At 49.6% G+C, this 13,860-nt stretch overlaps 1 protein-coding gene across 7 annotated transcripts in view, besides 2 other annotated features; it reads left to right on the plus strand.

Moving 5' to 3' along the window:
• Positions 1-13,860, plus strand: part of ACSF3 (acyl-CoA synthetase family member 3) — a 62,382-nt gene that overhangs the window by 24,202 nt on the left and 24,320 nt on the right. For all 7 annotated transcript variants that reach the window (NR_147928.2, NR_104293.2, NR_147929.2 and 4 more), the window contains one exon: positions 2,748-2,860. Coding sequence is in view for 4 of the 7 variants with exons in the window: in NM_001243279.3 (NP_001230208.1) it covers positions 2,748-2,860 (113 nt within the window). In the remaining 3 variants the exon portion in view is untranslated. The remainder of the gene's footprint in view (positions 1-2,747; positions 2,861-13,860) is intronic.
• Positions 468-762: a silencer, noted in NCBI's record as "tiled region #10518; K562 Repressive non-DNase unmatched - State 16:ElonW". NCBI's record gives its function as "represses a minimal TATA promoter and a strong SV40 promoter by Sharpr-MPRA in K562 cells {active_cell/tissue: K562}" and the evidence as "EXISTENCE:reporter gene assay evidence [ECO:0000049][PMID:27701403]".
• Positions 468-762: an enhancer, noted in NCBI's record as "tiled region #10518; HepG2 Activating DNase matched - State 5:Enh". NCBI's record gives its function as "activates a minimal TATA promoter and a strong SV40 promoter by Sharpr-MPRA in HepG2 cells {active_cell/tissue: HepG2}" and the evidence as "EXISTENCE:reporter gene assay evidence [ECO:0000049][PMID:27701403]".

Raw genomic sequence — 13,860 nt, forward strand, 5'->3', positions numbered from 1 at the left:
CCACGGCAGGTTCCCTCGGGCGCCGGGGACGCTCTCTCTTCTCTAAGGCAGAGCCCACGGCAGATTCCCTCGGGCGCCGGGGACGCTCTCTCTTCTCTAAGGCAGAGCCTGACGGCAGGTTCCCTCGGGCGCCAGGGATGTTCCCTCTTCTCTAAGGCAGAGCATACGGCAGTTTCCCTGGGGCGCCGGGGACGCTCCCTCTTCTCTAAGGCAGAATCAAATATCTGTGATTTTATCCTTGCCTTTAAATCACCAGCAGTGTGAGTTCTTTGGTTTGGAAAAAAGTAAGTAAAGTCACCTCAGCATTAAATCCAATATGCCCCACAAAAACTCCAAAATGCAGCCTCCTGAGCCATGTTTCTAGAGGGCACGGTGGAGGAGAGCTTTCCTCACTCTCAGGCTCTAACCCCCACCCTGGTGGCCATGGCCTTGACCCTTGGGTCGGCTCCAGCCACAGGCTCTGAGCTCATGCTTGGCCTCGCTGCTCAGTGCACTGTCCGTGCTCGGAAGAGAGAGAAGCTGGGTGGAGGGTGAGCTCTGTCGTGTGTTATGGTTACAGGCCTGCTCCGTGCGGTTCCTGTGGAGGGAGATGAATAATTCATGGCCGACCACTGCTGGGCCTCGTCACACTCTAATTGGAGGTTGAGCTCAGAGGTGCTCACGGCTCCTGGGCCACTCTGTGGCATTGACAGGGAGCTCCAGGGCCTCATTGGCGGTTTCCGTTCCCTGGGTCCCAGTCCCCAGTCAGAGTTATCAGGGAGGGGCTGGCTGACAGCGATTTTAGAGGTGGGCTGTGGCAGGAAGGCAGTGCCCCCCACCTGCCTGCAGCTGCGCTCCCATCTACATTGGCCTTTGCGGGGCCAGCCTCTGTCCACTCTCTTGAGCTCTCATGTCCACACTGTCACATGCCCGGGGCACAGCGAGCGGCACCTGGAGTGTGGGGACCCCTCCCTCGAGCTCTCACGGGTGGCACCTGGAGTGTGGGGGCCCCTGCCTCAAGCTTTCATGGGTGGCACCTGGAGTGTGGGGGCCCCTCCCTGAAGCTCTCACGGGCGGCACCTGGAGTGTGGGGGCCACTCCTTGAGCTCTCATGGACAATACCACTGCTTGGCTGCTGCAGAATCCAGACACCATCCCAGAGCCTCTTCAGCCTCTGCAGATGGTGTGGGACGGCCACACGGCCTCCCCACCTGCGGCCCCCGCCCCTACCCCAGCCGTGCCGTGTCCTTGCGCTGCGTCCCCGCCCCAGTAGAGGCATCACCAGGAAGAGGCGAAAGGCCGCCTGTGATGGTCCTCTTCTTATGAAACGCCCAGAACAGAAAAACCACGGACGCGGACAGCAGACCTGGTGCCAGGTCTGGGGAGGGAGGGTGTGGCGGTCGTGGGCTGTGCGGGAGTTCTGACTAGGGGAAGTGGGGGGCTGTGCAATGTGTGTGCGGAACACCGCCGTGCCGCGCACTGAAATGGGAAGTCATGTGTTATGCGGGTTTCACCCCCATTTAAAAATCTTCAGAAGCAAAACATAAAGGAGGAGAAAGGATGGAAGAAAGGGGGCTGAAGCTGGCCCCGCCACACCCCCCATAGTGGTGACACGGGTTTCTGACCAGAGTGGAGGTTCGGGGCGTCTGCATACCTGGAACCACAGAGAACTCCCGAGGTGACACTCCGCACACCACACTAGCCCGGCTTCGCCTGCAGGACCCCAGGTGTGGACAGGCCCAGCAGGATCAGCAAGACCGAGCCGGGCACCGACAGCCCCTCACCAAGCGTCTGGAGGCCGGGACGCCCCATGGATTGCAGAGTTCACTGCACTGACCCTCGATGCTGACCCTTGAAGTGCCGGAAATCTCAGCGTGGACTCAGACATGATAAGCGTTCAGGCACTCCCCTGACGCAGGCCAGGGCAAAGGCCTCACGCCCCGGGATAGACAGGAAGTCCCACGTCTGCTCTGCCCCTAGGTCATGCCCGTGCTGACGCCACATCGCCAGGGCCGCACTCCATGAGCAGCCTCTGCCGTCCCACCAGCAACCTAAACCACAGGCAGAGCGAGGCTGCGGCAGCCCTGCGTGTGCCGGCGGGACACGTCTCGCCACCTGGGCTCTGCCCCCACCCCGGCCAGTGTAAGATATGATTTTAGCCACGTTGAGACTGTGCAGGTGGGATGGATACACTGAGCAAATCATGGGTGTCTAATAAATGAGCCAGTACAAAGTGTGGTCCACCTGCCATGCAGAGTTCAGGACAGCCCCTCCTGGGGACATAGGGCAGATCCTGCCTTAGCCCGTCGTGTGCCGGGCACACACAGGTCCCCTCATCGTGGACAGCCCCGGGGCCATCAGGGCAAGGCGCCAGCCCTCCCTGGCCAGCAAGTGTGTAAAAGTGGGAATGACACCAGAATCTGTGGGCAGCTGTGAGGCTTTGGGAAGTAACTGGGAAAGTGATGTATGAGGGGCCCAGGGCAGGCCAGGCCCAGCGTGCCACGTGAGTGCCTGCTGTGCCACATGGCCATCACTGTGGCATCGGCTGGGCCTGAGCACACCGTGCTTGCCAGCCACGTATCGTGTGGCTTTTCACCTGCTGGTGCCTACACCATCTTCTCTCTGGGTCACAGGGCACGTCGCTCCCTCCACACAGACTCCCGCACGTGGCACACGGGAGCTCAGCGGGATCCGAGCTCAGTGTGTGCTTCTCTCCTCCAGGTTCCTCTCACTCCAGCCTCCCCTTCAGTGTTTCTCCTCTCCTGTAGGTTCCGTGGGGACCCCACTGCCTGGAGTACAGGTGCGCATTGTCTCAGAAAACCCACAGAGGGAAGCCTGCTCCTACACCATCCACGCAGAGGGAGACGAGAGGGGGACCAAGGTAAGCCACTCTGCTCTTGGCAGGTGGGCGGCCGTGTGTCCAGTCTAGGCCCCCCAGGGTGGTTACACTGGTGCATCTTTCCCCTGGAGGCAGACTCCCCTCCACGCAGGGGACCAGCCCCCTGGACACTGCAGGTGCTGGCTGGTGTTGCAAGGGCACTGGCTGGTGTTCTGGGCCCTGCCTGCTGCGTGTCCGTCTGTGCGTTCACAGAGCAGTGGGCAGAGGGAGCCCAGGGCGGAACGCCAAAGGGACTCACACCCGGGCACACAGCTCCTCCCAGGGGCCCTGTCCACGGGGACAGGCTGACGTGGGCCATGATGGCCTTGGCTAAGCGGAAGAGATAAAGAGCAGAGGCCGTTGTTGTTGATGGGAATCTGGTTAGAAATATGAACTGGCCTGACCCTGGCACCCGTCCTGAGGGGACGCTGACCACAGGCCCCCATAGTAGGTGTGGGGAGATTCACGGGGCCCTGCACGCGGAGGTGGGTGCCTGTGCAGTGCTCTGTGGCTGCCTCCTTGTCTTGTGCGTTATTCTAAAGCTGACAAGGGTGAACAAGAACAAAGGACATTGTCTCATTTCTGTGAGGATTTTAACATGAGAGTCTGCTCATCACACGTGAACTCATCACAGAGAAAGGTTTAGGGATTATGGGGAAATGGAATCTTGATTTAAAAGGAAATTATTTTCTCTGAAGCCAGTATCCACACCTGATACCACACATGATTGACTGTGTTGCCCTGAGGTTTTCAAAGATCGAGGGATCCTGAGTCTCATCTCTGTGCATTTCCTTCTCTGTGACACCATCTTGGCCCTCACGGGCACAACTGAGCTCCCTGTGCAGAGGCTGAGGGGCCGTGGGCCTTGCTCTCGTGAGTGAACAGCCACACGCCCTCCTTGTACCTTGGTTTCCACACATGACCACGTGAGGGTTGGAGCGATGGTCGTGGTTGGACGTTTTAGCTCCAGCAACCAAGTAGGATGTGGGTGGCTTTCAGTGTCATTAAATGACACTGAAAGGTGCAGTGGCCGCACCTTGTGTGGAGGGCCACACGGCGTGTCCCGCCTGGCCTGGGCCCCCCGCAGTGGGCTGTTATCCCCCGTGGCCCTGAAGTGGGTATTCTGTTTCCCCGTGGAAACCTCTCACCTGGGGCCACCTGCAGTGGCCGCACCTTGTGTGGAGGGCCGCACAGTGTGTCCCGCCTGGCCTGGGCCACCCGCAGTGGGCTGTTATCCCCCGTGGCCCTGAAGTGGGTATTCTGTTTCCCCATGGAAACCTCTCACCTGGGGCCACCTGCAGTGGCCGCACCTTGTGTGGAGGGCCGCACAGTGTGTCCCGCCTGGCCTGGGCCCCCCGCAGTGGGCTGTTATCCCTGTGGCCCCCACAGAGCCATGGGGCAACTTGCTGAAACCCACCTGGGTGGCTGCCCCTTGCTATACCCACCTCCCCTGCCCTCTGTAGGGCCCCAGCCCATGCTGTTGTCCTGACATGCCTCTCCTGGGATTCCTGCCTCTGCCCTGCTGGTACTAGGCTGCTGGCCACACCCCACATCTCAGGTTCCTGAATACACCGGCCCTTCCTGGCTCTCAAGTCTGTGCCCTGCAGTGCCCCTGCCCCCAACTCGAGGACCTCCCAGCTCAGCCAGTTCCAACCCTGTCTGCAGGGACGGGGCTCAGCCTGTGCCTGGGTTGGGGACACCATCTAGTCAGAAATGTCCCCAGCAGAGAGCAGAACGTGAGTGGCGTGTGGAGGAGTGAGACGCCCCGTGGCTGTGCAGCCCTCTCCAGGTGTCAGTCAGCTGACACTCCTGCCTCTGAGCACCTGCTCTGCCGGAAATGGCAGAAATGTTGCCAGAGAAAGGGGCGGAGCGGGGGTGGGGAGCATTTCTGTCTTAAATTAAAACAAAACTTAACTGCTTCACACCTGCATTGGCTGCCGCGCCACCTGATTGCTCCTGCCTGAGTTTCTTTAATTATTTGTGTCTGCTGGTTTCTTCCCTGAAGCAGTCTTGAAATAGAAGCAGCAGCCTCAGCTACCTGGGCACCCTGACAGTCAGAGACACCGCACAGGGGCCTCTGCGACAGGCATGCAGGCAGACCCTGCAAGGTGAAGCCGCACAGATGCTCTGGGGCTGCTTAAATCTCAGCGTACGGGGGGTTTGCATCTGCTGACAGCAGGCCCGGGAACATTTCCAGTTCAGCCAAGGAGTCGGTGCAGCAGGTGGAGTACAGCTGCCCTGCGGGGCCTGGCTCCACCAGGGGCCAAGACCCTTCGTGGGGAGGAGCACAGCCTGAGGGCCTCAGGGTTTGTGCCCTCCGACACCTGAGATTCAGGGCTCCCAGAGGGGTGGGTGGGCGCCCCAGGACAACCAGGTGATGATGGGCGCTGTGAACTCTGAAAAGCCCCAGCATCAGAGACCTGCTGCTCTCTCATGTGAAGGGACTCCCCACCCCACGCTCACACTCGCAGACGCACTTGGTACTTTCATCTGAGTCTCACGCAGTAGCCCTTCTCTCCACAGCATCCCAGAACCCGAGGGTGCCCCTCACTACCACGGTCCCGGATCCACGTGGCTCAAGTGAGGCTGTGGCCGACAGCTGGGCTGTCCGATCCACTCTTGTCTGTGCCGAGGCGTGGGTCCCGGCCAGCGTCCCTCCCCAGAAGGTCTCCCTCAGGACTAGTCATGAGAATGGCCATCCCTAGGCCTGTGGAGTGACTCATGACTGTTCCTGGGCAGATGATCAGCCAGGCCTTCAGAGCTGAATTAAGAGGCTTGGTGTCATATTTGTCAGGAAACAGAAAGTACCTGCAGAAAGGAATGTGCCCTGTGGGGATGGGAGGACACCTTCCCAGGATCATCCCCGGGGCCAGAGTATCTGGACCCTCCCCAGGTGGCAGCTGGCCTGCCAGGCCCAGGGCTCAGCCTCCTCCATCACCTCGCTGAGGGGCTGGCTCCTACCACTCCCTCACATCCTGTGACATATCACAGGTACCACACACACATGCAGTGCGCGCACGGGTATCACAGATACACGCAGTGTGCACACGGATAGCACACGTAGTACGCATGGGTATCACATGCAGTGCACACACAGGTATCACACGCACGCAGTGTGCACACTGGTATCACACACATGCAGTGCATGAACGGGTATCACACACATGCCTAGTGTGCGCATGGGTATCACACACATGCCTAGTGTGCGCATGGGTATCACACACATGCAGTGTCCACACAAGTATCACACACACATACACATTGTGTGTGCACAGCTGTTACACACATAAATACAGAAAAAAAGACCTGATGGAAACCCCAGAAGTCAATATGGCTGAGCTCCAGGCCGGACTCCCTGACGATGTCATAGGACGAGGGGGCGCGTGTGCACACTGCATATATGTGTGTGTGAGACCCGTTTGCACACTACATGTATGTGTGTGATACCCCTGTGCACACTGCATGTGTGTGATACCTGTGTGTGCACTGCTCATGTGTGTGTTACCCGTGCGTGCACTGTGCGTATGTGTGTGATACCCGTGCGTACTCTGCGCATGTGTGATACCCGTGCACACACTGAGTGTGTGTTACCTGTGCACATGCTGCATGTATGTGTGTGTGTTACCCATCTGCTCACTGTATGTATGTGTGTGAGATACCCATGCGCACACTGTGTGTGTGATACCCATGCATGCACTGCGTGTATGTGTGTGATACCTGTGCACATACCATGTGTATGTGATAACTGTGCACGCACTGCGTGTGTCACATATGCACACACTGCATGTGTGTGTGATACCCATGTGCGCACTGCATATACGTGTGTGTTACCTGTGTGCAACACTGCATGTGTATGTGACACCTGTGCGCACACTGCATGTGTGTGTGATATTTGTTGAAAAGACTACCCTTTCTGCATTGCATTGCCATTGCCACTTTGCCAAAGATTAATTGGACATATTTGAGAGGGTCTACATACAGGTTATCTGTTCTGTTCCCTTGATCTATGTTTCCATTCCTCTACCGACACCACATTATCTTGACTGTTGTGGTTTTATAGTAGGTCTTAACAATTGTAGTGTGATTTCACCAGCTTTATTCTTTCTCAGAGTTGTTTTGGTGCACATATTAATTTTAGAATTAGCTTGTCTAGCCGGGCCTGGTGGCTCACACCTGTAATCCCAACACTTTGGGAGGCCAAGGTGGGCAGATCACCTGAGGTCAGGAGTTCAAGACCAGCCTGACCAAGATGATGAAACCCGTCTCTACTAAAAATACAAAAATTAGCCAGGCATGGTAGTGGGTGCCTGTAATCCCAGCTACTTGGGAGGCTGAGGCAAGAGAATCACTTGAAACCAGAAGGCGGAGTTTGCACTGAGCCGAGATCACGCCACTGCACTCCAGCCTGGGCAACAAGAGCAAAACTCTGTCTCAAAAAAAAAAAAAAAAGAATTAGCTTGTCTATATCTACAAAAAGTTCTTTTGAGGTCTTGAATGGAAAGCCAGGTGTAGTGGCTCATGCCTGTATTCCCAGCATTTTGGGAGGCCAAGGCAGGCTAATCAACTTGAGACCAGGAGCTCAAGACCAGCCTGGCCAACATGGTAAAACCCTGTCTCTACTGAAAATACAGTTAGCCAGGTGTGGTGGCACACGCCTGTAATCCCAGCTACTCGGGAGGCTGAGTCACAAGAATTGTTTGAGCCTGGGAGGTGGAGGTTGAAGTGAGCCAAGACTGCACCACTGCACTCCAGCCTGGGCAACAGAGTGAGACTGCCTCAAAAAAAAAAAGAGAGAGAGAGAGAGAGAGATGTTGATTGGAATTTAGCCATTCTGATCGGGGAGATCACTTGGGGGAGAATTAACAATTACTATGCTGAGTCTTCCAATCCATGAACATGGTATGTCTCTCCATTTACTTAGATCCGTGAACACGGTGTGTCTCTCCGTTTACTTAGATCCGTGAACACAGTGTGTCTCTCCGTTTACTTAGATCCGTGAACCTGGTGTGTCTCTCCATTTACGTAGATCCGTGAACACGGTATGTCTCTCCATTTACTTAGATCCGCAAACACGGTATATCTCTCCATTTACTTAGATCCGTGAACACGGTATGTTTCTCCATTTACATAGATCTGTGAACACGGTCTGTCTCTCCATTTACTTAGATCAGTGAACATGGTGTGTCTCTCCATTTAGATATACTTTGGTTTCTTCTGTGTTGTATTCAGCATATAGATGCTGTACTTGTGTTAAATTTATAAGTAAATGTTTCTTCTTTTCTTTATTCCTCCTATTTCTTCTCCTCCTTTTCCTCTCCTTTTTAAACTATTGTAAGTATGGCAGGTGGGTATGGGGGGAGAGTTGTTTGTTTTTTTGAGACAGAATCTTGTCCTTTCGCCCAGGCTGGAGTGTAGTGGTACGATCTCAGCTCACTGCAACCTCTACTTCCTGGGTCTAAGTGATTCTCATGCCTCAGCCTCCCCAGTAGCTGGGATTACAGATGTGTGCCACCACACCTGGCTGATTGTTGTATTTTTAATAGAGGCAGGGTTTCACCATGTTGGCCAGGCTGGTCTCAAACTCCTGACCTCAAGTGATCTGCCCGCCTCGGCCTCCCAAGATGCTGAGATTACAGGCATGAGCCTCTGCACACAGTCACGTTTTTGTTGCTGTTGTTAGTTTTCAACTGTTCATTGCTAGTAGGTAGAAATAGAATTGATTTTTGTGTGTTGGCCTCAAATACTTTAGTTGTTACCTTGCTAAATTAACTTACTAGTTTTAGGAGATTTTAATAGACTTCTTGGGAATTTCTACAAATACAATCATGTTTTCTGCAAATACAAACAGTTTTATTTCTTCCTTTCCAACCTGTATGACCAAAGCCCTGACTAGGACTTCCAATACGATACTGAACAGAAGCAGTCCGAGTGGACCTTCTTATTTCTGATCTTAGGGAAAGGATTCAGTCTTTCAGCAAGTGTGTTAGTTACTGGCTTTTTGCAGATTCCATTCTATCTATAATGTGCTTAGACTTTTTATCACTAAATGTATGTTGAATATTTTCAAAAAGCTTTTCGGTATTGATGGACTTTTCTTTATTAGGCTGTTAATATGGTAGATTACATTGAACCAAGCTTTCATTCCCAGGACAAACCCCACTTGGTCCTGGTGGGTCATTTTTTTATATATAGTACTGGATTTGATTTGCTAGCATATTGCTGAGTATTTTTGCATCTGTATTCATAAGAAATTTTGGTCTGTAGTTTCCCATTTTTGTACTTTCTTTGGGTTGTGTTTGAGGGTGATGCTGGCCTCATTAAATGAGTTGGGAAGTGTTCTCTCCTCTTTTTTTTTCTGGAAGAGATTGTGTAGAATTGGTATTATTTCTTCTTTCAATGATTGGTGGAATTCACCAATGAAATCATCTGGGCCTAGAGGTTTTCTTTTCTATTATTATTATTTTGTGTGTGGGGGATAAGGTCTCGTTCTGTCACGCAGGCTGGAGTGCAGTGGTGCAATCATAGCTCACTGGAGCCTTGAACTCCTGGGCTCAAGTGATCCTGCGTCAGCCTCCCAAGTAGCTGGGACCACAGGCATGTGCCAACATGCCCAGCTAATTTTTTATTTTTATTTTTGTAGAGTTGGGGGTCTCACTATATTGCCCAGGCTGATCTTGAACTCCTGGCCTCAAGTGATTCTCCCTCCTCGCCTCCCAAAGTGCTAGGGTTACAGGTGTGAGCCACTGTGCCCTACCAACGTTTCTTTTTTGAAAGAAAAAGAACTATGAATTCAATTTCTTTAGTGCTTATAGGACTGTTCAGGTCATCTGTTGCATCTTGGGTGATTTTTGGTACATATCATTTTTGAGGAATTGGTTCATTTAATCTGTTAAGTTTCTTTATGTAGAGTTTCCCTTCAGGCCACGAAACCATTAAAAGGTTGATTAAAAGGTTAATAAGGGAATTCCCATCTTAACCTTTTAATGGTTTCAGGGCCTGAAGTTATGTGGCTCCCATTCCTCATGTTGGTAATTTGTGTCTTCTGTTTCTTTTTTCTTTGTTATCCTTGCTAGAAGTTTATCTGTTTTATGGCTCTTTTTTCAAAGAAGTCACTTTTGGATACATTGATTTTTCTTTACTGTTTTTCTGTTTTCAGTTTCACTAGTTCTTGGTTTCTTCTACTTGCTTCTGGCTTTTCTCTTTTTCTAGTTGCTTAAGGTGAAGCTTTAGATTATTGATTTGAGACCTTTCCTCTTTATAATGTGTACATTTAATGACGTACGTTGCCCTTAAGCATTGCTTTAGCTGCATCCCCAAATTTATATATAATATATATATATTTTTTTCTTTTTTCTTTTTTTTTTTTTGAGACGGAGTTTCGCTCTCGTTGCCCAGGCTGGAGTGCAATGGCATGATCTTGGCTCACTGCAACCTCAGCCTCCCAGGTTCAAGCAATTCTCCTGCCTCAGCCTCCTGAGTAGCTGGGAGTATAGGCATGCGCCACCACGCCCAGCTAATTTTTTGTATTTAGTACAGATGGGGTTTCACCATGTTGGTCAGGCTGGTTTCGAACTCCTGACCTCAAGTGATCCACCCACCTCGGCTTCCCAAAGTGCTGAGATTACAGGCATGAGCCACCACGCCTGACCTAAATTTTGATATATTTTTATTTTCATTTAGTTCAAAATATTTTTAATGTTCCTTAAGACTTCCTCTTTGACTTGTGGATTATTTAGAAGTATAGCACATATTTTCCAAATAGTTGGATATTTTTCCATTATCTTTCTGTTACTGATTTCTAGTTTAAGTCCATTACAGTCAAAAGACGCACTTGGTATATTTCAATTCTTTTAAATTTGTTAAGTTGTGTTTTGTGGCCCAGAATGTGGTTTCTTTTCAGGAATGTTCTGGTGTACTTGAAAAGAGTATATATTCTGCCCAGGCGCAGTGGCTCACACCTGTAATCCCAACACTTTGGGAGGCCAAGGCAGGAGAATCACTGCCCAGGAGTTTGAGCCCAGCCTGAGCAACATAGTGAGACCCCATCTCTACAAAAAGTTGGAAAAAAAAAAATAGCTGGGCATGGTGTTACATGCCTTTGGTCCCAGCTACACAGGAGGCCGAGGCGGGAAGATCGCCTGAATCTGGGAGTTTGAGGCTGCAGTGAGCTGTGATGATGCCACCGCACTCCAGCCTGACAGAGCAAGAGTGTGTGTCCTGCTCGTTTTAGGAAATGTCTGTTCTGTAAATTAGATGAAGGTGTTTGATCGTGTTGTTCAGTTCTTCTATATCCTTGCTGGTTTTCTCACCACTTGTTCTGTTACTAAGTGAGGGGTTGAATTTTCCAACTATAACTGCCTGTTTCTGCTTTCAGTTTTTGCTTCATATATTTTGAAAGTCTGTTGTTTGGTACATTCACATTTATAATGATTGTGTCTTATTGGTGAATTGACTCTTATTAACATTTAATGCTCTGGTAATGCTCTTTGCTCTTAAGTTTACTTTGATATTATTATAGCTATTTTAATTTCTCGGTTGGAGTTTGCATGGTATTTATTGTTCTATCCCTTTACTTCCAACCTACCTGTGTAATTGTATTTGAAGCAAGTTTCTTATACACAGCATACAGTTGGATTATGTGTGTTTTTTAAATCCAGCCTGACAAGCTTTGTAATTGGTATGTTTAGACCATTTACATTTAATGTAATTATTGATGTGCTTGAATTTAAGCCTACCATTTTACTATGTGTTTACTATTGTTCCCTGAGAGTTTTATTGCTCAACTTTACTGCCTTCTTTGAGGTTATTTTTTCATATTCCATTTTAATTTGTCTCTTAAGTTTTTGACCATAAATGTCTTTGCATAGTTTTTTTAGTAGTAGTTCCAGAAACTACAATATACATACTTCCTTTTTTACAGTCTACTTAAAGTCAACATTTTAACACTTCCAGAAGAATGTAGAGCCACATCCCTGCCTCCACATCGGTTACTTACCCTCTGCCTTTAGAGTGTAGTCAGTGTAATACCTGTATTTGTTGTAAACTCCGTTAGACAAAATGGTAATTTTTGCTTTCAACAGTCAAAAATATTTCAGAGAACTTGAGAAGAAAGGAACTCAACTTCATTCATCCAAATATTTGCCACTTCTGTTGCTTTTCCTGTATTCCCAATATACCAAGTCTCCTTCTGATACCAGTTTCTTTCTGTCTGAAGGACATTCTATAGGAATTCTTTTAGATCAGATCTGCTTGCAACAAATTACCTTATTTTTCCTCATCTAAGAATGTCTTTATCTTCCTTCCTGAAGGATATTTTCATTGGATTAGGAATTCTGGGTTGACAACTATTTTCTTTCAGCACTTTAAAAATATGATTCTTGGCTGGATGTGGCAGCTCATGCCTATAGTCCCAGCACTTTGGGAGGCCAAGGTGGGAGTGGATCACCTGAGGTCAAGAATTTGAGACCAGCCTGGCCAACATGGGGAAACCCTGTCTCTACTAAAAATACAAAAATTAGCCAGGCATGGTGGCACACACCTGTAATCCCAGCTACTTGGGAGGCTGAGGCTGGAGGATTGTTTTAACCTGGGAGGTGGAGGTTGCAGTAAGCCGAGATCATGCCATTGCACTCCAGCCTGGGTGACAGAATGAGAGTCTGTCTCAAAAAAATACTACTAATAATATAACTCCACTTCTTTCCGGCCTCCATTGTTTCCGTGGAGAAATCAGTGGGCGCAGGAACCCTTGTTCCTCTCTGTGTGTCAGTGATTGGATTATGATGTGTCTGGGCTTGGACATCTTTTGGTTTGTCCTGTTTGGGATTCTCTCAGCTTCTTTAGTTTATAGGCTTATGTTTTCACCAAATTTTGGGTTTTTAGCCAAATTTTATCAAACGACTTTGTGCACCTAAGTGTTATCTTTTCTTCTGTCACTCCAGTAGCATGAACGTTAGCCCTCTGTGTGTTGACTTTCCTGGTGATTTTTCTCTGCTGTTCAGATTTTGGGTCATTTCTGTTGCTCTGTCTTCAAGTTGTCACGTTCGTTTCTTCATCGTCCTGCTCCTGAACCAATCCATGAGATTCTTTATTTCTGTATTTTTCAGTTTTTAAATTATTGTTTGGTTCTGCTTTATATCTGTTATTTCTTTGTTGAGACTTTCTGTTTTTCCATTTATTTCCAAGTGTTTGCCCTTTCTTTCTTTTTCTTTTTCTTTTTCTTTTTTTTTTTTTTTTTTTTTTTTGAGACAGGGTCTCACTCCGTCACCTAGGCTGAAGTGCAGGGCTGCAGTCTTGGTTCACTGCAATCTCCACCTCAAGCGATCCTCCTACCTCAGCCTCCCAAGTAGCTGGGACTACAAGCACTGACCACCACACCTGGCTAGTTTTTATCTTTTTTGTAGAGACAGGGTTTTGCCATGTTGCCCAGGCTGTTCTCAAACACCCGAGCTCAAGCAGTCTGCCCGCCTCAGCCTCCCAAAGTGTGCCCTTACTTTTTGGAGCATTTTTATAATAGTGCTTTAAAGTCTTTCTCAGATAATTCCAATAACTGTGTTGTCTCAGTGCTGTTGTATTCTTTTTCTATATGAGTTGCTATTTTTCTGGTTTTTTCCCGTGTTGAGTAACTTTGTATTGTACCCTGGATATTTTTAATGTTAGGGATGAGATTCTTGGTCTTGTTGACATTCTGTGAAGATGTTGAGGTGTTTGTTTTACTGTGACTTGGTTGGCTTAACTCTACAAAGTCTGACCCTCCTTCCCTGGGATTGGTCTCATTGTCATTTTATTTGTAGGGCCTTTGCCTTGCTGTCTCTACATGTCCCACAAGTGTACTGACCAGTGGCCAGTCTGACCACGTCAGTGGAGCAGATAAAGGACAGCAGTGGAAAAATTCACGAAATTCAGATAAAGTCCGTGGTTTCTTTGAAAAAACAAACACAAGGCTCTGAGCAGCCAGGAGTTAGGCTGGGCACTGCACGGAAAGCCCCGTCACCATGTGGGGCAGG

This window comes from Homo sapiens, chromosome 16, assembly GCF_000001405.40.
Source record: "Homo sapiens chromosome 16, GRCh38.p14 Primary Assembly".
Lineage (NCBI taxonomy): Eukaryota > Metazoa > Chordata > Mammalia > Primates > Hominidae > Homo > Homo sapiens.